This window comes from Homo sapiens, chromosome 1 (assembly GCF_000001405.40).
Source record: "Homo sapiens chromosome 1, GRCh38.p14 Primary Assembly".
Lineage (NCBI taxonomy): Eukaryota > Metazoa > Chordata > Mammalia > Primates > Hominidae > Homo > Homo sapiens.
In genome coordinates this window covers 94,861,157-94,887,635 of record NC_000001.11, presented here as the reverse complement: position 1 = coordinate 94,887,635, position 26,479 = coordinate 94,861,157, and the positions used below count along the sequence as shown (strand labels likewise).

The 26,479-nt window shown below is 44.1% G+C and overlaps 1 protein-coding gene across 26 annotated transcripts in view, besides 3 other annotated features; it reads right to left on the bottom strand.

Moving 5' to 3' along the window:
* Positions 1-26,479, bottom strand: part of SLC44A3 (solute carrier family 44 member 3) — a 74,891-nt gene that overhangs the window by 7,612 nt on the left and 40,800 nt on the right. For 15 of the 26 annotated variants that reach the window (NR_146575.2, XR_946543.3, XM_005270442.3 and 12 more), the window contains 2 exons: positions 22,737-22,893; positions 20,219-20,305 (listed from right to left, as the gene is read on the bottom strand). Coding sequence is in view for 24 of the 26 variants with exons in the window: in XM_005270442.3 (XP_005270499.1) it covers positions 20,219-20,305; positions 22,737-22,893 (244 nt within the window). In the remaining 2 variants the exon portion in view is untranslated. Of the gene's footprint in view, positions 1-15,805; positions 16,544-20,218; positions 20,306-22,736; positions 22,894-26,479 lie in introns of those variants that run through there. The other 11 variants (XM_017000264.3, XM_017000262.3, XM_047444888.1 and 8 more) reach the window with 5 other exon arrangements.
* Positions 2,483-3,369: an enhancer, noted in NCBI's record as "H3K27ac hESC enhancer chr1:95349823-95350709 (GRCh37/hg19 assembly coordinates)". NCBI's record gives its function as "activates a minimal SCP1, AML or CMV promoter by ChIP-STARR-seq in naive H9 embryonic stem cells {active_cell/tissue: H9 hESC(naive)}" and the evidence as "EXISTENCE:reporter gene assay evidence [ECO:0000049][PMID:30033119]".
* Positions 13,594-13,763: an enhancer, noted in NCBI's record as "experimental_9624 CRE fragment used in MPRA reporter constructs". NCBI's record gives its function as "activates a minimal promoter by MPRAs in K562 erythroleukemia cells, with activity observed for both the introgressed and non-introgressed 1:95339514 variant alleles {active_cell/tissue: K562}" and the evidence as "EXISTENCE:reporter gene assay evidence [ECO:0000049][PMID:34662402]".
* Positions 20,777-21,278: an enhancer, noted in NCBI's record as "NANOG hESC enhancer chr1:95331914-95332415 (GRCh37/hg19 assembly coordinates)". NCBI's record gives its function as "activates a minimal SCP1, AML or CMV promoter by ChIP-STARR-seq in naive H9 embryonic stem cells {active_cell/tissue: H9 hESC(naive)}" and the evidence as "EXISTENCE:reporter gene assay evidence [ECO:0000049][PMID:30033119]".

The following is a 26,479-nucleotide window of genomic DNA, read 5'->3' as shown; positions in this document are numbered from 1 at the left end:
TATTTAATTTAGCACCATCTCTCATAAGTAGTAAAAACAGATTTCGCTCTTTGGCTAAAATGATTAAAATTTAAAAAGGTATTATACTTTCTCATGCATGTGTTGACTCCAAAGAGTTTTGGGGCCCATAAGCATTTATCTTTTCTTATGTATCAGGCCCACTGAAAGAAGGCATTAAAAGCACTCTGATAGAGAAATTATATATGCCTTCCTGCAGGTACCATACCACTAGCATTTTACCAGATTCAACCCTGAGTGCAACAGAGAGATCTAGAATTAACATCTGAATGAATAGGGGGAGGAGGGAGGAATCACTCAAGACACAGGATACGGATTAAACATTTCTGCAGCTTCAGCATTAGCTAATTTATACTTATTCTGAGTAGAAGCTGCTTGTCAGGCAGCTGGAAGATGGAGTGCACTAACATTTTCATCGTAAGTCCTTGTTCTGAGCATTTGTATTTGCCTGGGATGACAGAACTCAGGATTAACGTGCCAAGGTAATCTGCAGACTCTAACAAAATGTGGAAATGATTGGCCATAATAAGGACTAGGAAACACGTTTTATTGGTTGTGGAAGTTAAGAGATCCTAAAGGCTAACCTTTAAACAAGCAAGCAGGAGGTAGTGGCATTCGGCTTTTGATTTATTCCCAAAATTCAGTGTGCATACTTCTTTAGCATCACAAAACAGGTGGGTGGATATTTCTGTCTTGAAATTGAAGCTATAAACACACAAGACAGATACGAGGAAGGATTCCCAAGTTGGCATTGGTAGTATCTCAATATTATGTCCCAATTCTCACTCCCTTGCTTGGGATCCAAGACTCCCTCCAGGTACAGGTGGATTAGTTTTCAGACTTTAATGGACTGGTCACCTGGGACTGTCCCGAGTGGCTGAGAAGCACTGGGGGAAGAACACAATGAGGACGCCCTGTGTGGCTGTGAGGGCTTCAAAACAATGAAATACATAGCACAAGTGCACATGTGAGGGCCACAAAGAGCAGAACCACAAGCTGGAGGGAGAGGGGAAGAGAGGGCCCAGCAGGAGGGATCAGGGAAGGCTTCATGGAAGTGGCATACGAGCTGGCCCCAGTGTTGCCTGTCTCCAGCAGGGTAGGAGGCAGCAGCAGGAGCCAGCAACATGAGCCACAGACATGAGCATACCAGCAGGCTACTGGGGGGCCCCAGCAGAGGAGAAATGGGAAACAGGTCTGGAAGAGTCGGGGGTCAGCCCTCGGTGGGTGGGGCTGATGCAGAGTGTGGAGCAAGAGCAGTGAAAGGAAGTTTCAGGAGGACTCACGATTTTCAGCCTGTGCCTCTGGAAGCTCTCCCAGGCTGCCCTGGGGAAGTTCAGGTCAGATCTCCCTCATCACCATCTTCTGCTGAGCCACGAAGCTCTGCACCTTCCAAGGCTCATTCCTATTCAAGCCTAGGAGACTCCCCAAGCACCTCCACAATGCCTACGGGGCTCTGCTGGAGTTGGGTGGAAATGCTGTGGTGGCCATGCAGCCATTGAGCACACCGACCCGCCAGCAGTCATAAGCCAGGGGCTAGGCCCAAAGACCGTGAGTTCTTCTTGGGAGAAAATAGGAGTATTAGGAATAGTAACTCCTCCAGGCACTCTGGCTCCCCTCCACCCCCACCTCGGTGGATGCCTTAGTGATATATCCCAAATGCCTTGGCACAGACCTAATGATAGCTACAACTTTCTAATTTCCATCTGTGGCCTTTTTCTTTTCCAGTCAGTAGGCAGGTGTGCAACTTCTGTGTGTAAATAAATAATAACGCTAATAATAAATAATAATGGCATTAATCTTGCATGTACTATGTGCCAGGCTCTATGCTACCTCTCCCCGAACACATTCACTCATTTAGTCCTCTTAACTCCAACCCGATGAGGTAGTTAAGGAAACTAAAGCACAGAGAGGTAAAGTAGTGTGCCCCCGGTTCCACGCGTGTCATAGATGTTGCGTCCATCTTCCATGAAGTGGACCTCTAACTCGTTCAGGCCCATCTGCTGGAAAACTTTACTTTGAGCTGTACTTTGTGCTTTTTCTCCTGGAAAGTTCAAAATAACAAAGTGGTGTTCTCATGAGATGCACCATTGAAAACAGCTGAGGATGTGGCAGGATGGCTTAGTGGAAAGAGGCTGGATTCCAGTCATGTTGCCTCCAAAGACTTGCGGAACGGCTTCCACCAAATCACGTCACTTCTCAAGGGCCCTCACTTTGCTGCTTGGAAAAGACTTCCACCAACTCCAATGTTCCATGATGCTTTATGTTTGTGCTTCGTGGCCAGTCACCCTCGGATCATCGTCTCATTAGATCTCATCTGTTTTCACCACAACTCAGTGAAATAATCACCATGGGTGGTATTATTCCCTGCTGCCTCTTTTTTTTTTTTTTTTTTTGAGAGGGAGTCTCACTCTGTCGCCCAGGCTAAAGTGCAATGGCGCGATTGTATTCCTGTGGTCAATTGATTCTGCTGCCTCAGCCTCCTGAGTAATTGGGACAACAGGCACCCACCACGCCTGGCTAATTTTTGTATTTTTAGTAGAGACAGGGTTTCACCATGTTGGCCAGGCTGGTCTCAAACTCCTGACCTCATGTGATCTGCCTGCCTCGGGCTCCCAAAGTGTTGGGATTATAGGCGTGAGCCACTGCGCCTGGCCGGTATTATTCTCATTTTATAGAAAATTGTAATTATTGAAGAAAATGAGATTTAAGTGTCCTTTTAGGTAAGAGAAAATCTAGATTACCTATTTAAGTTACTGTGAGAGCTATCCAAGAACGTTAATTGCAGCTTTAACATAGAAAGAGCGTTTTTTTACTCCTGAAATCAAACGCTTAGCCAGCACAGCTCAGCCTTTTGTCCATCATGCTGAGTCTGTCCTCTCACTGAACTGAACTGCTTTCTTCTTTTGGTGGCAGAACTGTGAACCTGGGTTTCTGCCGACTCTTCAAAAAGGTAAACAGAGTTTCCCTCCGTAGTGGAGGGAAGGTATTTGCCAAAAACCATGCCATGAATAGCCAGCTTTATTTCTGGAATGCCTTCCTCACAGAGTTCCGATATTTATTCTCAAAGCAAGAACTACTAAAACAAACTTGAGAAACTGAACAGTGAATAAATAACACTGGCATTCATACTTTCCTCAGAACTGAAAAAAAATACAGTGAAATCCGAGTCCAGATACATCCCCATACATCCAGGGGCCTTCCTTGGACCTACAGTAAAACTGGCAGGAACCGTCCCAGACCAGTTTCATCTTGAGCCCTGTTTTTATCACAAACACATGTGGAGTGAGGCAGTGCACAGCCTCTGGGCCTTCCAGGGCCCTGCATTCACCGTTCAGATCCCTTCAGGAATGCACCGGTCACCAGGATGCAAACAAACATCCAATGAGATGGTGAGGAGGGAAAGCAGCCAGTCCCCTGGGGCTGCAGCCAGGTGGGAGGTGGGGTGGAAGAAGGAAGGACAAACATGAGAGCTGCCTATGAAGCCACGAACAGGGTCGTGCTATTTTGTTTGCTCTTTTAAAACTTTTCTTTTTGCTTAATTTTTAGAATGGCTTTATTATTTCCATGTTAATCTTAAAAAAATCAAACAACACAGAGACAAAGAAGCAAGAAGGCCACTGTGATCCCACCCCTTAGAAATAACCACTGCTAACATTGCTTGGCCTTCACCCCAGCACCCCTCTGTGAATATACACAGAGGAAGAAAGGCAGGCTGGATACACTGAGCATGCGCTACGATAATGAACTCATACTCTCCATGGTATTTTAAATAAAAGGACAAATGCTCATTTGACTTCAACAAACGAAAATGAAACTAAACTGACACTGAAGGGATACCCAAATTTCAGACAAATTGCACCTTCACACACAAGACGTAGGTTTTAAAAAAGTCTTCTGAAACATTAGGAAGTTAGAGTACTTATTGTTTTTTTAACATAGGGTTTTAAGTTTAGGCAGTGTAGATAAGAAAGTTGAGTCCTCTCACGCCTTCTCCTGCATCCTGATTTTAGTGAGTTTCATTATTCTGACTTTGTCAGGGTTTTGAACACTTATAGCCTCTTTGATGATGAAAGTCTCTACATCTAAGTTGTCTTTGTTTGTTTGCTTTGTTTGAAACAGGGTCTCACTCTGACACCCAGGCTGGAGTATAGTGGCTCAATCATGGCTCACTACAGCCTCAACCTCCTCCCAGGCTCAGGTGATTCTCCCACTTCAGCCTCCCGAGTAGCTGGAAATACAGGCATGCGCCACCACACCTGGCAAAGTTTGTGTAGTTTTTTGTACAGATGGGTTCATGCCATATTGCCCAGGCTGGTCTCGAATTCCTGAGCTCAAGCTGTCTGCCTAACTTGACCTCCCAAAGTGCTGGCATTATAGGTATAAGTCACCGCACCCGGCCTAGTCTTTGTTTCTTAATGAGGTGTATCCAGCACTGCCACCATGCCTGCCCCTTCACACACCTGCTGTGGGCCACTGCATTCACACCATCCTGGAAGGCCCTTGCGGTTCCTCCACTCACAGATGCGGTTCTCTCTGCTGAAATGCCTTCTGACCCCTGGCCTCTCTGTGGGGCTAATATTTGTTGAACAGATAAAGAAAGATCCTCTGGCAAACCAATAATGTCTTCTGAATAATATTTCTTCATATGAAACCCAAATTCAATTGATTGATCCCTTTGTTCTTTCAGCAGAATGGTTGGATTAAAAGGCATCCTAGATATCACCTAGAAAAATGCTCTTATTTCACCAATGAGGAATTGGCAATCTCGACAGGCTGTGACCAGGTAGAGGAAGCGACAAAGATGGAACAGGAATCAGGTGCTCATAGCCAGTGCTCTTTGTTTTAGATAAGCCTTGTCCTCCCACAAATTCAGAAAAGGCCACATTAGGCAACGGCATCTTGCTGGACTTGATCCTTCATTGATCTGCCAGCAAAGCTCTGCACTCAGCAGGGAAAGCCCACCAGAACAATGATTCCTAACGAAGAGGCAGGTCCAAGTTAGAGGACCGTGTCGAAGTGTCACCTTCATCCCCCAAGCTCTTTCCCAGTTGGAGTGCTGTTACATCCTTTAATCCCATTTGACCTGTGCATAATCAGTGGTGGAAAGGAGCAAATCAGAAGCAAGGCCTGGCTTTCTGGAAGGCAAAATTAAACAGTGGACCTGTGACATGGGAAACACGGAGGACGGGGAATGCCTGGGCTGTTACTGACTTCAAGCTTCCTCAGAAGGAAGATGACATAGATGGGCTCGTCCCTATTAGTGAGCGCCACTCCCTGGTTTCCTCCTCTTTACACTTATCCTTGGCAAGGAACTCCAGGCAGCACAGCAAAGCCAGTGGGCCACAGCTTTTGGAGCCACGAGGATGACCACATAGTAGTGCTGTCACCCTGGACATGCTCTTCATCCTCTGGGGCTCAGTTTCCTCATTTGTACAATGGGGATAATACCTACCTAATACGCAGAGTCCTAGAGAAGATAAACTTAGACTGTGTATGCCAAATGTTTACCATGGTGCCTGGCATACTGGGCCAACTCAGTGGATGTCTATGGGACTTACAGACTTTAGAAGGTTGGTTTTTGTTTTTTTGTTTTTTTTTTAGATGGAGTCTCGCTCTCTCACCCAGGCTAGAATGCAGTGGTGCGATCTCAGCTCACTGCAACCTCCACCTCCTGGGTTCAAGCGATTCTTCTGCCTCAGCCTCCTGAGCAGCTGGGACTACAGGCACGTGCCACCATGCCCAGCTAATTTTTTTTTTTTTTGTATTTTTAGTAGAGACGGGGTTTCACCATGTTGGCCAGGATGGTCTCGATCTCTTGACCTGTGATCCACCCGCCTCAGCCTCCCAAAGTGCTGGGATTACAGGCAGGCATGAGCCAACGTGCCCGGCAGAATATTGGTTCTTTTTTTTTTTTGAGACGGAGTCTTGCTCTGTTGCCCAGGCTTCAGTGCAGTGGCATGATCTCAGCTCACTGCAAGCTTCGCCTCCCGGGTTCACGCCATTCTCCTGCCTCAGCCTCCCGAGTAGCTGGGACTACAGGCACCCGCCACCATGCCTGGCTAATTTTTTGTATTTTTAGTAGAGACGGGGTTTCACCATGTTAGCCAGGATGGTCTTGATCTCCTGACCTTGTGATCCGCCCGCCTCAGCCTCCCAAAGCGCTGGGATTACAGGCATCAGCCACCGCGCCTGGCCGATTGGTTCTTAAGAGAATGTCAACCTTCTCTGATTTGAAGCCCAGAACTGAGGAAATGGTGGGAGAGAGGTGGAGAGCAGAAACTGGAACATTCATGTTTTTCATGTGTTGCATGTTTTGGGGAGATAATTTCAAGTCAGGTGCATGTGCCTCCACAAGCACACTGTTGGTGAGCCTAGGGGTGAGGAAGCCAGAGCTGCCCTGCCAGGCTGCTTGGTGAAGGCCTGGTGACAGACAGCCTGGCCAGAAATCCAGTCACTGGCTGCTGGGAATAACTATCGTTTGGTAACATAGTTTGGTCCACCTTGCAGTGAAAAACGTTTATAATTTAAAGGCATTTGCTTCAGAGACATTCACTGTAGTAACATATCTTTTCTTTCTCTTGAGACGGGGTCTTACGACATTGCCCAGGCTGGCCTTGAACTCCTGTGCTCCAGCAATTCTCTCGCCTTGGCCCACGGAGTAGCTGTGACTACAGGTGCATGCCACCACACCAGCTCTTTGCCTTTTTTTTTTTTGTCATTAAAAAAAAATGTAGAACATTCATTTACCATCTTAGCCGCTTTTAACTGTAGAGTTCAGTAGTGTTAAGTATATTCACATTGTTGTGCAACAGATCTCTAGAACTTTCTCATCCTGCAACACTGAAACCCTATACCCACTAAACACTAATTTCCCCTCTCCCTAGCCCCCAGCGCCCTTTTTACATTGTTTCCATGATTTTTGACTACTTTAGATACTTCAAATATTGCATGATTTTATTCATACAGTGTCTACTTTTACTGTGTTTGCCAAATACAGTATTTTGACTACTACATTCAGCATTTAAAGTATCTAAAGTAGTCAAAATACCATATTTGACAAATACAGTAAAAGTAGACAAATACTGTATGAATGGAATCAGTACTGAGGTTGAGAAAGAAATCATACTATATGGATGATTGGAAATACTGAATGGAATCATACAGTATTCGTCCTTTTGTGACTGGCTTATATACTTCAGCATAATGTCCTTGGGGTTCATCTATGTTGTAGCATATGACAGGATTTCCTTCTTTTTTAAGGAAAAGAAGAAATATACTTGGATACATAATATTCTACTGTATGACTATATCACATTTTCTTTATCCATTCATCTGCTGAGGGCACTTGGGCTGCTTCCACCTCTTGGCCATTGAGCGTATGCTGTGATGAACACAGGTGTGCAAGTAACTCTGAGATCCCGCTTCGAATTCTTTTGACTATACACTCAGGAACAGAACTGTTGGATCATATAGTATTATAGACCCATTTTTAATTTTTTGAGGAAACTCCATACTGTTTTCCATAACAGTTACAACATTTTACATTTCCACCAACAGTGCACAGAGTTCCAACTTTTCCACATCCTCACCAACACTTATTTTCTGTTCTTTTGATAGTGGTCATCCTGATGGGTGTGAGGTGATATATCGCAGTTTTGATTTACCTTTTCCTAATGATTAGTGATATCGAGTGTCTTTTTGTATTGGCCATTTGTATAGCTTCTCTAAAGAAATGTCTCTTCAAGTCCTTTTCCTTTTTTTTTCTTTTTTTTTTTTTTTGAGACAGAATCTTGCACTGTTGCCCAGGCTAGAGTGCAGTGGCGCAGTCTCGACTCACTGCAAGCTCCGCCTCCCAGGTTCACACCATTTTCCTGCCTCAGCCTCCCAAGTAGCTGGGACTACAGGCACCTGCCACCACACCCAACTAATTTTTTGTATTTTTAGTAGAGACGGGGTTTCACCGTGTTAGCCAGGATGGTCTTGATCTCCTGACCTCGTGATCTGCCCACCTCCGCCTCCCAAAGTGCTGAGATTACAGGCATGAACCACTGCGCCCAGCCTTTTTTTTTTTTTTTTTTCTTTTTTTGAGACGGAGTCTCGCTCTGTCGCCCAGGCTGGAGTGCAGTGGCATGATCCCGGCTCACCGCAACCTCTGCCTCCCAGGTTCAAGCAATTCTCCCGCTTCAGCCTCCCAAGTAGCTGGGATTACAGGCATGCACCACCACACCTGGCTAATTTTTGTACTTTTAGTAGAGATGGGGTTTCACCAGGTTGGTCAGGCTGGTTTCAAACTCCTGACCTCATGATCTGCCCGCTTCAGCCTCCCAAAGTGCTGGGATTACAGGTGTGAGCCACTGCGCCCGGCCGTCCTTTGCCCATTTTAAAATCGGGTTTTTTTTTTTTGTAGTTGTTGTTAAATTGTAGAAGTTCCTTATGTATTTTGGACAGTAACTTCTAAGCATATATAATTTATTTTCTCCCATTCTATAGGATGATTTTCACTCTATTTTCTTGGATGTGTAGAAGTTTTTAAGTTTGATGTGGTCCCATTTGTCTACTTTTATTGTGTTGCCTGTGCTGTTGGTGTCATATCCAAGCAATCACTGCCAAATCCAATGTTCTGACACTTTTCTCCTGTATTTTATTCTAAGAGTTTTATAGTTTTAGGTCTTTTAGGTCTTTAGTTCATTTTAATTTTCCTGTATAAGGTAAGGGTCCCACTTCATTCTTTTGCTTGTGGATATCTGGTTTTCCCAAGATCATTTGTTGAAGAGACTGTCCTTTCCCCATTGTGTGGTCTTGGTATCTTTGCCAAAAATCATTTGGCCACATATGCAAGGCATTATTTCTGTGCTTCCTATTCTGTTCACATGGTCTATAGATCTATGTAGCACAGTGTATCTATGTTTATGCCAGTACCACACCATTTTCATTACTGTGGCTTTGTAGCGTGACAGATATTTTCTTTCTGAACCTCAAAGACTATCTGTCCCTCCCATTTTAGCTTCCTCTCTCCACTGGATCTTCTGCTCAGAAAGTAGTTTCCCTTGTAGTCAGTTCTAAGTGTGGTTACAGCAGGTCCAACAAGAAAGGGCAGCTCCTTTGAGTTAGTATTTATTTTTCCTTTATTGCCTCCCTGCTCCTTTTGGTATATGTTAAAAAGCTGTGTGAAGGCAGCATGAACCCGGGGCTGATACTGAGGGCGTTCGGGTCCTCATATTCATTCTTCAATCCATGGACACACATGGAAGGTCCGCTTTGGCCAAGCTCCAGGCTGGGGACTGGGGACAGGGCACTAAGCGAGGTCAGGAGCCTCGCATTCTTTGGGCCCCAACCAAGTTTCTCTGTTTTTTTTTTGTTTGTTTGTTTGTTTTGGTTTTTTTGTGAGACGGAGTCTCGCTGTCGCCCAGGTTGGAGTGCAGTGGTGCGATCTCGGCTCACTGCAGGCTCCGCCCCCTGGGGTTCACGCCATTCTCCTGCCTCAGCCTCCCGAGTAGCTGGGACTACAGGCGCCCGCCACCTCGCCCGGCTAATTTTTTGTATTTTTAGTAGAGACGGGGTTTCACCGTGTTAGCCAGGATGGTCTCGATCTCCTGACCTCGTGATCCACCCGCCTTGGCCTCCCAAAGTGCTGGGATTACAGGTGTGAGCCACCGCGTCCAGCCCAAATTTCTCTGTTGTTGCTTTGATGGAAGCAAGACGTGGGCATGGCAAACACACCCAGAGCACCCCTCTCCACCCACACTGGGGTGCATCCCGATGAAGTCATTCAACCTCAGCTGTCTTGTTCCTGGGATGAATGCAAGTCTAGCAAATGCTCTCTCTACCCCACCCATGCCAACTGAGGCATTCTGTAGAAGGCAGGAGACAGAGAAGAGGAAACCACTTGAAACATTGTCAAAGCCTGGATCCACTTGCCAAAACTTTTGGGAACTTTTTCGCCCCACCTAGATAAGAAAGCTGTTTGAAGCAAAATTCTCTTAGCCGCTTCCTCTTCTACTTTTCACAAACTTGTTTCTCAAATGTCTGTAGAGATGGGACTCTCAATGGAAGGAGGAATGTCCAGCCATCCCTAAGACATGTATGATGGTTGACTTTGCTCTCTTTGCTTCTGTTTCTCCGCCTTGTGTATTTTCTCCTTTCTCTTCTCTCCACATTCCCCATTCAAGCAGGACTCGGGCTCTGTGCTCATTCCCCCAGTTAAGGTTAGGGGGCCAGGTGGGGAGTGGAGGCAAGAAGACATCCAGTCTTCAATTCTCACTGGCTTTTGTTTTCCAAAATTTAGGCTCTTTAAGCCCTTACCTACCAGGGGAAAAGGTGAAGAAAGAGGTTTCCCAATATAGACCAAACACCTTGGAGCAGCAGGCGAGTGTGCAGGTTTCCTCCAGCCCCACATTAGAAAATGACACTCTCCTGGGCTGGGGGAAGAGGAAACAAAGGTCTATGGGTCTTGACTGAAGGTCCAGGTCTGCCCCCGACCTTTTTTTTAAACACAGCTTGGAGAAGTGGCAAGGCTCTTCTCTGACCACTTCCAGGGTCCTGGTTTGCCTGGGAGTGAGGGGGTACCAGAGACATGGGGCTTCTAGGTGACCAGGACAGGTAGTCACCTAGTGCTAGCACATCAAGGCAGATAGGACCATAGGTGACCATAGGTAAAAGATTCCTACTTCCCAAGCAGGGCCTGAGTGGCCATAAAGATGGGAGGATGATGTCTCAAGGGCAACCTATATCTGTTAATGTCTAGGGACACCTGAAACCTCATATAACTCCGAGGAGGGATAGCTCAAGAATAACAAATTAAATTTTCCACCCGTCCAGTGGCATGAGAACTCAAAGTTAGAAATCAGGTTGAGAGACATGATACAGTATCATCTGCACATCTGAATCTGCAGCTGCTCTTCATAGCATGTAGAAGTCATTCAAAGATGAGACTCAGGTGGTGGTGGCCTGGGGTGTCATGGGAGTCCTGCTTGTAGCAGGACATGACTTAGTGACTGCTAAATCAAAGTGGCATGTATTCCTTCAGCCACAGTGACTCACATCTCCTTTCATATGCTTTTTTCTTTTTATGAATGCATTCTCTAGTCTCTGGCCAGTCATCACTTCCTTCTCTCAACAAGTCTTAATGCCGTAGGACAAATAAGAATGACAGCCGAGGAACGTGCCTACAGTCACTGCCTTGCTTACAAGAGCATGGACTTCAAGGTGGGCAGTCAGACCCCTTGGACAACAACTGTTCCAGACAAAGAGCAATGCCCCAAAGAATCCTGCTCTCTATCCTAAGGGAAGAGGACATTTGGTGTAGGAGCTATTTAATGGTTTCATTTTATTTTCCACACTAAGTGAATTTGGGAAACGTTGAAGCTAATCTATCTTCTTCACATTTCTTGAGCACTGGGAGTAATGTTAACAACTTAGACTGGAAAGTTCCCTTTTCCACTCTGAGGCACCTCCCCACTCTAGCCCTTGCCTAGCTGTGATCACAGATGACGGCCCGGCCCGGCCTAGCCCAGGCAGCGTGGTGTCCACTGCACACAATAACCTGTGGGTGGGAGGGCATAGGAGGAGTCAGTTTCAGCTGCCAGATCCCCACATCTGAACACTGCTCATCAGAACACAGTGTTTTCACATGTCACCTGCTTCCTTCTTTATGAGGAAACTGGATGTGCTGATTCAAAGGTGGATTTCTTAAAGTTAAAAACCTGGGCAGTCTCCCTCAGCATATTTCCAGTGTACCTAGAACATGTCATGACAGGAAGGCACAAAGAACATAAAGGGTTTGCTTCATGTTCTACATGGAGTTCAGACTTATGAAAGAAGGCTCAGATTTACACAAATGGCAACTCCTTGGATTAGCTGACCTTTTCAACTAGTGTTGTTGGAAACAGTCCCAGTTGCCCTTGCTACCATTAATAAAAGGTGAGACCCCAAACTTCCCAGGATGCAAATGTTCCTCACCCTTCTGCCTCCATGAGCATGGCCTCCTCCATATTGCCCAAGATATGGGGGAGATTTACATAGATTTCTGCCAAAAGGTACCCCAGGGCAGCTCATGTAGACATACTGTGTAAAGTGACACACCTGTCTGTCCTCCAGGAGGCTCAGAAGGGGCAAGGAAGAGAAGATGCAGGATAGGGAATGGAATCAGAATGAGCTCTGCCCACCATGTAACCTGGGTGAGGCATTCAAACCCTCTGGACCCCAGATTCCGCTATTATGAGGGGAGGCTGTTTCATGATCTCTAAAGTTCTGGGCTTCTGAGTCCCTACCCTGTGGAAGGAGTGCCCTAGTGGACTGGTGAAAACCTGGCTCTAAATCCCATTGTGGCGCTAGTCTTGATTTCCCTGGCTTTGGGTTTCTGTGGTCAGGGACTTCCTTTAGGCTAATGCCTCTCATTTGTTTCAGGGAAGGAGGTGAACTTAAGGGACTGGGCAAATTTGGAGGGAGCAGCAGAGTGTAGGCGGGCTCAGGCCCTTCCTCATTCTCTTTTGCGATCCACCTGTCACCAGGAACATCCTTTCTCAGATCCATAGAGAGGTTCACCTTGTTGGCTGGGCCTGGTAAAAGGTGGGTTGGTCATTCTGATTCAGGGGTAAAACATTGACAAGCCGACTTGCCTACAGCTGTTCCTGTGGTAGTTTTCCAATCAGATGATTTCATATTCAAGGTGATATTTTTAATCTTCATCTGTTTGACTCTTACATCTCACAATTATTCAGAACTTGGACAAGGAAGAGGAAATGACTTACTGGGTCTTCAAAACTTCAAGAGTCAGCTCTGCTACTTTCCTCCTGTCTAACCTAGGTCAGGTTACTACTTAAGCTCTCTGAACCAAAGTATTATCATCTGTTTAAAAAATACTACACAGGCTACTTTGTGAGGCTATAGGTAGTTGATACACATAAAGTAGCACAGTATCCGGTACATAGTAAGTGCCAGTGAGTGGCTGGTATTCTTGTCTTCGGGAGCCGCACACTTAGGAGGAAGTCGAAGTCATTTGCACTGACCACTCAATTGCCTCGCAGGAGTTCCTAGCTGCCTGAGTGCCCTTATATAACTTTCCCTCCCTTTCTCATGCAATAATTCATTCAACAAACATTACTTCCCTCTCTGAGAAGGCACTGAAATTTCATGTCAGGAAGCACTTCAGAGTCCAATTTAACATGGCGGCTGCTCACTGGGCCTTACCCCAAAGGACTGAGCACTAAGGCCCACTTGGAGAAGAGGGCTTTGGGCCTCACCCTCCTGAGCCCTGAGTCTTGTAACATGCCCACAGCAGGTGGGAGCTAGGCTCCAGAGAGGCTGCTCCCAGGAAAGCCACACTAAGCCACAGCCATATGCCTGGCAGCTTCTGAACCATGCACCAGGAAACATGAGGATTCAGTTTGTTTTCTCCCAGACAGCCTGGGGCCTCTGAAAAATAGGTGTCTTAATTCCTTTCTATCTAAAGCCAGGGTAGTAGCATTTGCCACACAACAGCTGGGTGTGGGGATTACCATTGTCTATAAATGGGCCTTAATGCAAACTATCATATTGACACACATGTGAGCTTCTTTCTGAAGCACGCACACACGAGGCATCTCTCCAGAGCTCTCAACATCAGCTGGCTGCCCAGAATAGCTCTAAACCAGTCAGCAGGGGTGGAGGATTCAGAACCACCGCTGTCACTGAAAGAATGGCTGTCTGGATGCTACGTGATGAGACTACCTATTATGGCAATGCCAGCTTCTGAAAGAACTGTTTCTTCTTAAGAAACTTTACATCATTTTCCTAATCTAGTGAGATAAACTGTACAATATTTTTACTTTTTTTCTGAGATGCACATGCTGCTCTGGGAGAGCAGAAAGGAGGAGTCACTGGAGATCTGCCAACTGGCTTGGGATGAACCAACCAAACCTGATGTGGAAAAGTCATTGAGTGCTTTAGCTATTGATGGACTACGAGAAAGACAGTCATTGAAACAGAGCTAACTGCAAGGAAAGGGGCGGGGGAAGAGAATGTTTGGAGATACTACAAAGTTGAGTCTGCCGCAAAGGCTTAGAAGACAGAGACCAACATTATGTTCACTAAAAACAGTCTTGGCAGGCAGAGCAGGTTGGGGAGAGGCACTATGAGGTAAGAAGGGGAGAGAGGTGTATATTTCCCCAGAAGCAGCAGGTTTTTCTCTGCCTTGACCTTCACAAGATTATCTGGGACCTTTCTGACCAGTATATTCATCAGTCAGAAAGACAGGAAGCTGCTGGCATTTCTGATCAAATAGCAAGAGGCAACAATCTGTACATGTACTTACTAGATCTTATCTAGAGGGATGACAAAGGAAAGTAAGCTGCACGCTTTACACACTGCATCAAGGTGCATCGGGGTCACTTGGTTCCCTCCTCAAGGGGATGCAGCACAGATCCATCAGGCTCGCAGCTATCTTGCATGATAGCCCAAGGCAGAAAAGGGCTGTGAAAGGCATTGGACATTACAGTACACTCCTACTGTTGAGAATGACTGAGCTGCCTGGCATTTGACCAGTATCTCATCACCAGTTATTTTATTTATCACTATATGTTATAGCAGAACTACTGGCAGGATCGCTGTAAGTAGATACAGATAAATGGCTCCTCTTTGTTCATTCACATTCTCAGACAACTCTACAAGATTCCAGTGCCTCAGAATTGAGGCAACATGAAACATCACTGATTTTTGTGGTTCTAGGATAAGTCCTCACCATGGATACAAGGTATATCATGAAGAGAAATGAGCCTGTCATTTTGGAACACCACAGGAAAACAAACAGCTCATATTGTTTTCCACTCTCCCCCCATTTCCCACACAAAGCATCTCATGGCTTTGATGCTGTGGGGCAGCACTGTGCATGCCCCCAGCTCTGGGCTGGATGCCATGACAAGGGTCAAAAAGCCACATAAGAACCTTGGGGGTCACTGAATCTAACCCTTTCATATTGCAGAAGCTCAGCAAGTTTAAGGGACTCACCCAAGTTACTCAAATAATGAAGAGGCAGAGGCAAACTGCTGCTATACCTGACTGAAGTCATTTTTACCTGGAAGCTTCTCCCAGGAGACTGGTATAGATATGGTGGTTCTCAGACTTCTGACACTAGCCCACAGCTCATTGCCTATACCCATTCCCACTTCTGCTGGAAGAAGAACAAAGCATTGAAGAGGAATGCAATGCTTAAAGTGATTTAAAAAAAAAAAGAATGAATAAACAAAAGGCCGGGCACGGTGGCTCACACCTGTAATTCCAGCACTTTGGGAGGCTGAGGTGGGTGGATCACCTGAGGTCAGGAGTTCGAGACCAGCCAACATGGAGAAACCCCATCCCTACTAAAAATACAAAATCAGCCAGGTGTGGTGGGACAAGCCTGTAATCCCAGCTACTCGGGAGGCTGAGGCAGGAGAATCACTTAAACCTGGGAGGCGGAGGGTGTAGTGAGCCGAGATCGTGCCATTGCACTCCAGCCTGGGCAACAAGAGTGAAACTCTGTCTCAAAAAAAATAAAAAATAAAAAAATAAATGGAATACTCAACAGAAGTAAAACATCAAGACAAGAATGACTGCAACCAAACAACACAGTCAACTCAAGGCAACACTGGTGGTAGCGAAGTGTTCTTTTCCCAGTTTGCAAATCCCAACTGTCTACGTGTGTGCATTCATAAATTTTGCAGGGTCACCAGGCATTGCCTCGGCAGTTAGATGTCTGAAAAGAGTAATGAGTTTGAGTCCTTAAGAAACTATGTTAAGACACCAATTTGGATTTATAAAGAACACATTTTAGTAAGCTTTAATAACACACGCTTTACTTTATTGATTGGCAAACAGCTCCTTGTTGTATGCAAAAATGAAAAACCTATGGAATCCTGCTATTTGCCTATAAAAATTGAAAAAAGGATTTTCTAGAATGTTCAGATCAGTTTGGAACCATCAGGAAGAGTCCTGGGGCTCACCAGTGGGTTTCATACTTAGAGGAACATTGACCTAAAGCCAACATCATGGCTGGGACAGAGGCCTGTGTCCACAATGGACAAGAGATGTGCACTTAGGGAGACATTTCCATGAGGAACTGTGTGCAGACCTGGTAAGAAACAGTAAGTACACCATTCTTGCTGAGTGCTTAGCCTGTAGTCTCACAGTGGGGTTCTTAGCCAGGCCCCTGGAAAGTGCTGGGAGGGAGAGGGGAGGCTGTAAGGTCCCTTTGCCTGAAAGTCTCTGAGAATGGCCAGCCAACACTCCCAGACGCTTTGACCACTAACTTGCCTGAGGAAAGGAGGAGGGGCCAGGCCACCCTGACCAGCCTTTTCTGGATGGATAACTGCTTGATTACAGTTACAGTGAGTTCATCATCTTCATTGCTCCTTCACCTTTCCCGTCTTCCTCCACAAAAGTCTGCTGTGTAACAAGATGTGCTCTGCCAGCTCTACTTGTCTGGACTCTGGCTTTGCTCACATCCCCAGGTGGTGGTCATGAGTCCTCCTCTGGCTATTTTAAAAATGCACAGTGGTTAAGGGCTTGGGTCCTGGAGGGAAAACAGACTTGGATTCAAATCCTAGTTCTGCCACTATGTGCCTCCTCTAAGCCTCAATCTCCCTATCTGTAAACTGGAGACACTATCTCAAAAACTAACAACTGGCCACGAATGGTGGCTCATGCCTGTGATCTCTGCAGTTTGGGAGGCCAAGGCGGGTAAATCACCTGAGGTCAGGAGTTCAAGACCAGCCTGGCCAACATGGTGAAATGCCGTTTCTACTAAAAACACAAAAACTTAGCATGTGGTGGCATGTGCCTGTAGTCCCAGCTACTCCGGAGGATAAGGCAGGAGAATCACTTGAACCCGGGAGGCAGAGGTTGCAGTGAGCTGAGATTGTGCCACTGCACTCCAGCCTGGGCAACAGGAGCAAAACTCCGTCTCAAACAAAAGAAAACAAAAACGAAAACAAAAAACCTAACAACTGATATAATGCAGGAAAAGTGCTCAGCATACAACTGGCAAAATAGTTTATTGCCAATACCCACAGCTGTTATTGCTGTCGTTAGTAGCTGGTGATCTCCAGTGGGTGCTCTATACTCAGGTCCACCTCTCCTAGGAAATTTCCCCTAATTACAGAGTCAAATGACCTCTCCCAGTGACCAAGATTCCCCTTTTCTGAACTTCCACAGCCCTATCCCAACACTTAAACATGTACTTTTCTGTACTGTCATATAAATGTCTCATGCATATACCACTTACTGGCCCCTGGCTCCCAACAACTAGCTTGTCAATTTCTTGGAGGCTTGCCTTTTGCACTATACAGTAATGACTCTGTATCACCTCTGTATCACCATGGTCCTGGTCCCTATTATGCCCAGGTAGAAATAGTCTGCATACAGCATAAACACATGGTTGCTGGATGAACGCATGTGTGAGGTGAACATGTAATTTTTTCAGTATGCACACACTCAGTATTTATGATGTAGGGAGAAAAGTAAATGAGAAATTATGAGACTGAGAGTTTCATTCCCCACCTTGTAAGTGAATGCCTGTGCAGCCTTAGGCTGGGTGTTCACAAAATGCAGCAACTGCCACCTGCCTCCCTACTAGGATTTAGTGAAGATGGATTAGGCTTTTAAGAAGCAGTGGGAAAACACAACCATCTCCTTGATGTTAAATAAAGATGAGCATCTGAGTTTTGATGGTAACAAATGGATCTCATTCTCTTTTAGTATTTTCCAGCTCCTATTCCACAAAATGAGGAACATAAAATAGGGTTCAGCCTTTTTAAATCTGATTTCCAGAGACAGAGATGCCACAATGTCCCCTAGTAAGTCATTCCAATGCAAGGAAATTTCTGAAAAGGTGAATCTAAATTCCTTTTCTCACTTTATGCTCACTTTCCTTTGTCTACTGCCAAATGAGGCTGACAGTTGCTCTGATCACCATTTACAATCATCTTTATTCTTAAACATTTTTATTTCACTCTGCTTTCCAGTAGTCAATGTAGACCAGAGGTGACCCTTCCCTCTCCATTAATATTCACATCAATTCTTGTTTTTTCATTCTTCCTCCTCTTCCCAATCTCCTGAACCTTAGGCCTCTGAGCATCACCCATATCAGCTGGCAACACCCAGTTCTACAGGAGTCACCCCAAGGAAAAGACACTACAAAGCAGGTTTAGCCACAGCCTAGTGCACAGGCACCATGATTAGAATCTGAAAGACCTATCCCTGTTTGCACCACTGACTCACTACAGGAGCTGGATCAAGGCTGGCTTAGTTTTTTTGTGAATCAGGGATCATTACTTCCATTGACACAGCTTTTAAAAGGAGTCGTCACCTTCACAATGGTCATTAAGGTGTGGTTAACATTAATGTCACTTATGAGTTTGGAAACATTTTGAATTACCAAGGGAAATGGTCCTGGATTAATTAAGGTGGTGAAAGTTCAGAAGGCAGGAAAATACGTATCTCAGGATAACAGGGCAGAGGAAACAAATGTGAAAATGGGACCAGAGGTTTTCAAATGTGTTTCAGCAGCAGAGACCTGTCCTCAAATGAAACCTTCAGTACACTCCCACACTCCCACCCCTAAACCACATAAAGTGGAGCTGCTCAGGCCGCAAGGCCAGGCAGTATAGGCATGGTATATGGGGCCAGGGCCCACCCTTCCTCCACCTCAGCCATTTCTCTGCCCTCCTAATGTGGTGGTCCCCACAGTGTCCACAGGAGCCTCTAGGCTTCCAGGGGCCAGTATGAAAACCATGAGTGAAAGAGGGATGCGGAAAGTACCTGAATTCCCGTAGTACAGTGAGAGGGGATAACAGGTCAACCCTCGGGCCTTGTAGGGCCATATGGCCAACATATTTGTATATCAATGGTCCCATTCATTGCTTTTGTCTTTCTAGTCTATCTATATGTTTCTTAGACTTTATTTTTCATGCATATATATTTTATCATAGTTAATACATTTTTGCAATGCATCTCAAAATATTTATGAAGTTGCCGTCTGGATATATACACAATAGCTATAACATCTTACACCACGACAAATGTATTCAAACGGTTTGGACTGACTTGTTATATGTTCCCCCCCATTCTGAAAGGTCCTATGGTATTTGATTGTGTTTTATACATGCTGGCTTATAGCAATCCAAATGAAAACTAAATATACTCTAAAATGTTCTCCAAGTTTAAGAGCCTAAAAATAGACCTTACTATAAGAAGGCTACATTTTTCCCTGAATAATGAAAAGTATTCTAAATACCCCTTAAAAGACATTAAACATAGGTGGTCTAATTAGTCCCTTTACTTCTAAAGGTACATTTCTTTGGGAGGGGGCAATTATAAGAAATACTTTTCTAAGTGAGATTTCTGTGAACATTTAAATTATAAAACAGTTTGCTAACTTACAAAAATACTGCTTTGTGTAAATTTGACTAAGGACTATTAAAATCTCCTAAATGCTCTATAGAGAAATACAACATATTTAAATTTCCATCAATTTGAAAAATTCAGGAAAGGAAAAAAATCTGAAATCCAAACAATTGCAAGATATAATTTTTATAATTTTAAAGGCATATTTACAGCTTGAAAAGGAAAGACTGGTGAAATCTATGAAAATTAGGGAGGCAATTCTTTTCCTAGTTCAGGAAAATTATAGTTCTTAGAGAAGACACTGAAAATTAGCTCTTAGTTGATATATATTCATTATGCTTAGGGTTTCTAAATACTCCCTTCCCTCTTTATTTCTGAAAAGAGAAAAACTTTCTTTTAGAATTTGAAGCATGGCTTTAAAGGCCTATGGTTCTAGGGTAGGGTATGCAAACTACAGCTCAGGAGCTAGCTCCATCACACCGCCCACTTTTCTCTGGCAGGAGCTAAGAACAATTTTTACAATTTTACAATGGTTGAGAAAAAATCAAAATCAAAAAAAGAAAATTTCTTGACATGTAAAAATCATATGAAATTCAAATTTCAGTGTTGATAAGTTAAGGTTCATTAGAACATAGCCACATCCATCCCATTGACATTTTACCTATGGCTGCTTTCCTGCCATGATGGCAGAATTGAGTGGTTGTGACAGAGAGACTGGTCTGAAAGCCTAAAATGTTTACACAATTTAGCCCCTTAGAGAAGAATTTGCCAAACCTTGACCTAAGAGATGAAGCCCACCTTTGGACCCTTCTGTGTGTTCCTGAGGCAAGAGGTAGAGACGTACCTGGTTGAGATGGAGCAGGTATTTGTCAAGACACCAGAAACAGCAGTAGCAGCATCGGAACAGGTACCTGGACAATGCACCATGCTGCTGGATCAGGTTGAGAACAAAGGAACAGAGTCAAAAACAACACAGGAAAGAAGAAAAGCAGGCAGTTTCTGAGGAAACACAGTTTTTACTTATGCACCTGGGGAAACACTGGTGGCGTGGGAGAAGTTCTATTGTGTGCATACTACTACTACTAATTATGGTTCTAGTATTACTGAGGAGCAACATTTCTGTCTTGTGGACTTACGTGTTAGGGGTGCTATTAGGGAGGTTAGTCCATACTGAACAGCAAAACAAAAGCAGGCCTTCTGGTTCCAGTAAAAAAAAAAACCTCTCTTCCCCCTTCATCTGCCCTTAAGTGTCTGAAATGGTACACTTTGCTTTTTCAAACCAAAGTTTATATTCACGAAAAATCCACATCCCAGAAACAAAAAAAACAAATAATACACTGTAGGTACTAGTTATGTGCCCACATAAATAAAGAATCAAGTTTAACTCTGGAGGAAATAAATCCTGTAGTGAGATTTTTTTCAGGACTAAATTTCGAGGGATAAATTACTCCTTTGAAATATAACTTGAACTTGTGCATAGCTTAAGAATGAATACTTTAATGAACCTCTTGGGGGAAGGGTGCTCGGAGGCATCCTACCCACTCTCCAGAGTGAACACATCCCTGAAAACAATCCTGAAATAGCCTAGGATGAGGACCCCAGGAATAACTCAGCCTTATATGGACATTTTCTCATCCCAATGTGAATTCAATTGGATGAAACTTGATCTGGACACTTTTCAGCCTGGCTGTGTTGGTGAATGAGCCTATTTAACTAGGGAAAATCACACAGTGGCTGTGTGAGACATTTAAATTGTAGACACAGTGTGGGGCAGTAAGGCTGCTGAGGAAGAAATTTTTTTTTAACCTAAGAAAGGACACATTTTCCCAATAGTGACATCACTAAAAGCAATTTTGGCCCTTGGTCCTTGTGGGATCTGGGAAGTGATAAATAACCTTTTAGACCTCAGTCAGAGAGACCTTGGGCCTTCCACTGAGGTCCTTGGGCCTTCTCTTTTAGATTTATGAAAGGCCGTTTCCCCAGAGAGTTTAAAATGCCTAGCTTTAGGAGGGAGAGCAAGCTCCCGGCTGCTCATTAATTTATGATTATCTATTACCAATGCGCACACACACATATCACAAATAGATTTAAAATAAAACGCTGTCCTGTTCTTCAAGAAATCCTGCAAGTTTCCTAAGACTGAAGGATTGATTTCAAAATGCAGGAGCCAAAAGTAGCTAGTTTTGCCCTGGATATGGAAATGCCTCTTCAAGTCATCAAAATGTGGCCAAGCAAAATATTAATAGAAATACAAGAAAATATTCTACAATCAGGGGCAACTGCTTAGCATGCATTTCCAGATAAGGAAGCCAGATAATTTTATGTGTTATCCAATCAATTGCTTCTAATTGATAAACTAACTTTAAATCTTGGTTATAGATTTTAAAATATCAACAATTCAGATATCTTTTTAAAAAGTAAATGAAAACAATTCCAAAATACAATGTAAACCTATTGGTAAAATGTCCTGAATTTACTAAGGACACATAGCTATACTCAAAAGGTTGGAATCAGGTAAGTTTGTGAAACTGACCAAGTCACCAACTCTAAGGTGGTGACGGGGGAAGAGATTAACATTGTGTGAGAACAGAAGACTTGGGAAAAGTCCAATCTTCTCTTGTTTGGCAGGCCAGAAATACCATGAGAACAGCTGTTTTCCTGGTGTTCTGGTTTCCACTGGCATTCATAACCAAATGTGCATGGAAATAAAAACTAGGAGGAGAAATCCCCCAGGCACAAAAGCCCTACAGTTCTCTGTCCTTTGAGCTGAGATGTAGGTCAGCTTGCCCATTTCTCACTCTCAAGCGCATGTGTACACACGCATGTACACACACATACACACTCTCATTCAAACCCTCTCCTTTTCTCCCTCGTTCTTCCTCACACACACCAGGAATTTCCCATGACTGTCTCTAGGAAACACAAAAGGCAGGCAATATTTTAGCATCAAAACAGAAATGAACAAATATTATTCCTATCTTATGGTATATTTTTTTACTTAAAAAGGCATGATAAATGTTCACAAAAAAACTTGTTTAAATTTCACCTTAAGAGTTCATCCCGTCTGTTTGGCATTTACATAAGAAGGAAAATCAGCTAACTCAGAACTACTCCCTCCCCACGCCATCTCCACCGAGTTGGAGAAAACCCAATAAACAAAACCATAAACAAAACACAGACTCTGGGAAAATAAAAGTTTTGCTGGGAGAGGCGGGGGATGGGAGCTGAGGAGTGCAGGAGCTTTCTGCACGGCCCGCTGTCACAGGTCACATTTCTGTCCTGGGACCTGCTGTAGTTTTCCAGTAATTAAGTTTCTGGCAACCCAAACACAGAACGTGCTGTGTATCAGGAGGTAGCCTTACCTGTTCTTTCAGTGCGTTTTGCATGTACATGACAATGATTCTCGGAATCCTCACCACAGAGATTAAAAATGACCCTTTCACAACGGTTCCTTGATGGTAGAAGAAGAGAATGGAGAGAGACGAAAGGATGGGATGATCAGGAGGATCATTTTTACTTCTGGAAATAGGGAAAAGGATAGCATTTTAAAAACACTTTTTATAAAGCAGCAAAAGCTCTCTGGTTCCAATCATCTGTGGTACTAACAACTTAGAAAGTTGTGACATAATAAGCATTTGGCGAACTTTTTATACTCCTTGGTAGCTTCGGTTAAATTGTTTCTTGTATTAATTTAATTCGTTTTGGTGCCACTTAATGCTACAAATAAAACAGAAAAAATTTAAAAAAATTGATGAGTTAAAAAAGTTTCCCTCTTCATAATGCAGAGCCCATCCACCAACCCTTTAGGGTGCCTATTCATCTCATTTTCACTTTCAGAATTTTAATTGCGGCACAATCTCCAAGGTTTAACTTACACAGGAGTATACATAAATATTGCCAGCATTCACCTGGTGATTAAAAATCATCACCAAATCACATGACCAGGATCAGTGGCCAGAGAGGTAATAGTGAGCTCCCACTTACAGGAAAGGGACAGAAAGCCCTGGGTGCTTGGCTCCTACACAGCTCTAGGCTCCCCAAATCCTGCTGGTTTCTACTCTGCTCTTTAAAGGTCACTTCAGTGTGAATCATTTACGGGACTTGTCATGACGCAGCTCCCAAGAATGTGTACAAGTCAGTTTCACAGGCAGGGAAAAAAAAGTGAGAAAGAACAGAATGGGCACAGCCATCACTCTCCCCTAACCCTGAAAGATAAAACAAAGGAGTGGGGGCTGATGCCACCCCACGGGTGACCCTTTGAATTCCCGCTGAAGCCAGTTCTAGAAAATAAGGTCTTTCTGAGAAGCAACTTCACAGATTCCAAGTGAAGCTTGGTTTCTTTATAATGGATTATTCTACAACTTGCTCTGGTTGCTAATAAGTCACTATGAATTAAGGTTTTGACAGCAGCCTAGGTTTTGAGAGAGGAAAAGGAAGGCAGCCAGAAATGTTTCAAGAGTTGGCAATGGCTGCATTTTGCTGTTACTCAAATCAGCCAGGAAGAAAAAGAGAACATGAAAGTAATATTGGGAGCTGAAAAACTGCAACCCAGTTGTCCCACAAAAAAAAAGGATGTGTGTTTCAACACAGTGTTATTTAAAGTAGGAAAAACCACGGAAGCTATTGCTAATAGGAATTCATTTAGATCTGATAAACTAGAAGAGTAGTGTAGGCCAGGAAAATCTGACACACTTTTTTTTCCCTTCCCTCATTTTTCTTTTTTTTTAAGGAAGAACGTTTACTTTTCCATTGAGGAGATTTGTGTGCCTTAGAACTTATTATGGTGCTCAAGAGGGGAGGCAGGGAGAAGAGGACAACACCTGCTTTCCATCTGGTAGGGAAACACATGATTCATAGGCCTCTGTGAATGAGGGCCTTGGGGTTAGCCCTCCAGGTATTAGAGTTTGGGGTTAGGCATCAGCTTTCTGAGGTTTCACTGTGATGGGGTTAACCACTTCAGGCAGAGGAGTACCTGCACTGCCTCAGCTTCCCTAGTCTGTAACACATCCTGGTTATGGCTGGAGGCTCTGCCTGGCTTGGCTGGAAGAAGATGCAGAGGTTCCAGAAGCTGGGTTATCACGTGATGGGAGACGGAACTTAAAAAGAGGGCCCTTTCAACCCAAGCCAGCTCTTGGAGCCAGGAGTCACTCAATACCTGCCCTCAAAACTAGAAACAGCCCTACAGAAAAAAAAGGCTAATGAAGTGGTGTGTCTCTGAGGCCCCCACCTAGTCTCAGACTCATTTCCATGTTCAAAGGTAACGTCATCCTACCACCTCTCCCCTGCTGTGTGTGGGGCTAGTGCCTCCAGCTCTGTCTCCCTCACAACCAGCCAAACCTGCCTTCAGGAAGAGGATCTGACACACCCAGTGATGCTAAATATAATACTTACCTCTGGACTTATTCATATTTTAAGAATTGACCTGGGGGACAACATTCCAGTGTTGAGCATATGGGGCAACCCAGCGATGAGTGTATTAGGAGGCTGGGGAGGACTGGGCCCCCAGTCAGCCTTCCTCATCTCTCTCTAGATCTTCCCACTGGACCACATCCACCCCAATTCTGTGGGTAGTGGCAATAAGGAAGACACGGGCAGTGTTAGAGGGTAAGGCGACTCTAGCATATGCCCCATGAAGCCCAGCTTCCCCCTTCCTTTGGATGTGTGGCTGCTTTGAGTGCTAATGGTGCCTGGCTCCCAGAACAACGAAGCCAGTTGCCCAAAATACCACATCAATCCAAGCTGTGGGGCAAAGGGTTTAATGGTCCCATCCATCCAAGTCCTCTAACACCTTTGGGTCATGGTACAAAGTACTGTTTTGTAATTTCTACTCCCATCAGACAACAGAGTGCATACAGCCAGGCAAGCCGCATCATGGTCCTAGAGACAAGCTTTGGCTCTAGTTAGATCCAGCCTCGTGCTCACTAAAAACTCTTCTGACATTATGGAGAATTAATTTTGTGCTGAGGCTCCTGGACTAGGTGTGGGCTGCATGGGACAAATGGCCTCCAACGTAAAGCTGGTCCCAGCAAAGGACTGTGTGGTCCCTGTAGAGACCATGTCTCTTCCAGTATTTCTTACAACAAAATCACTGCAAGATGGGGTTTGGAGGGCTGAGAAGGTTGTATGTTTCTTTCCTATTCTACAGAAAATGAAAATCGTCTTTATTAGAAAGAAGAGGATTCTTTAGCTGGCCTGGGTAACTCTTGCTAGGTTAGGAAATTCATCTATCTCTACCTAAATTCCTTAGGCTCTGCTATGAATCCATTTCCTCTTCTCCATCTGTAGATATAGAGCAGCTGGAAACCCTCTTTTGTATATTTGAAAATGATGATGAAGTCACACCTCAAGTGTCCCTCCACCACCCTGAAGGGTTCTAGCTCCTTCCTATCACATCCCTAACACCACCTTTATGGCTCTCAGTTGATCCTTCTTCAAGCAAATGGTTGTAAAAAGTAAATTCTACAGATTGCCCATATCCTGGTACCTGATGGTATTTGTATGAACTCTTCAGCCCTCGTAGTGCATAAATGAATGACAAAGATGAATGCACCCTGGCTATATTTAATCCTCACCCTGAGTGCAGGCCAGAAAAGGATACGAAGAATTGTGAACTTTGAAGATTAGGAAAAATCTTGAGGTTTCAAAATTAGGCAGAAAATCAAAAAGGAAGCAGAGCTCTTTAATAAATGCAATAGTTGTGCTAAAAATAAATCATTGTGTGTTATATTATAAATTAATTTTTTTTAATCAAAGTAATATGTAAAGTGTCTTACAAAGCCAAAAATCACTGCTAGGCTTAATAGGAAAAACAGCAGTTTTCTTCCCCCATTCATAATTCTCTCTCCCTGAGATAATATTTTAGTTGTTATTAGAGAACTCACTTCCACACCTCAAAATTACATGTTCTTACTGCTATTTCTTGGTTTTTTGGCTTCAGATATTGTCTACTGACTTTTCTACTATGAAAGATTCTGGTTTTATTTTCTTACATAGCCTAACTCCCCCAATCTCCTCACACTCATGTTCCCATTCTTCCAATGTAATTACATCAAAGCTTTTAGTTAATGCTTAGTGTTTGTTATTCATACATAAATAATATGTGCTG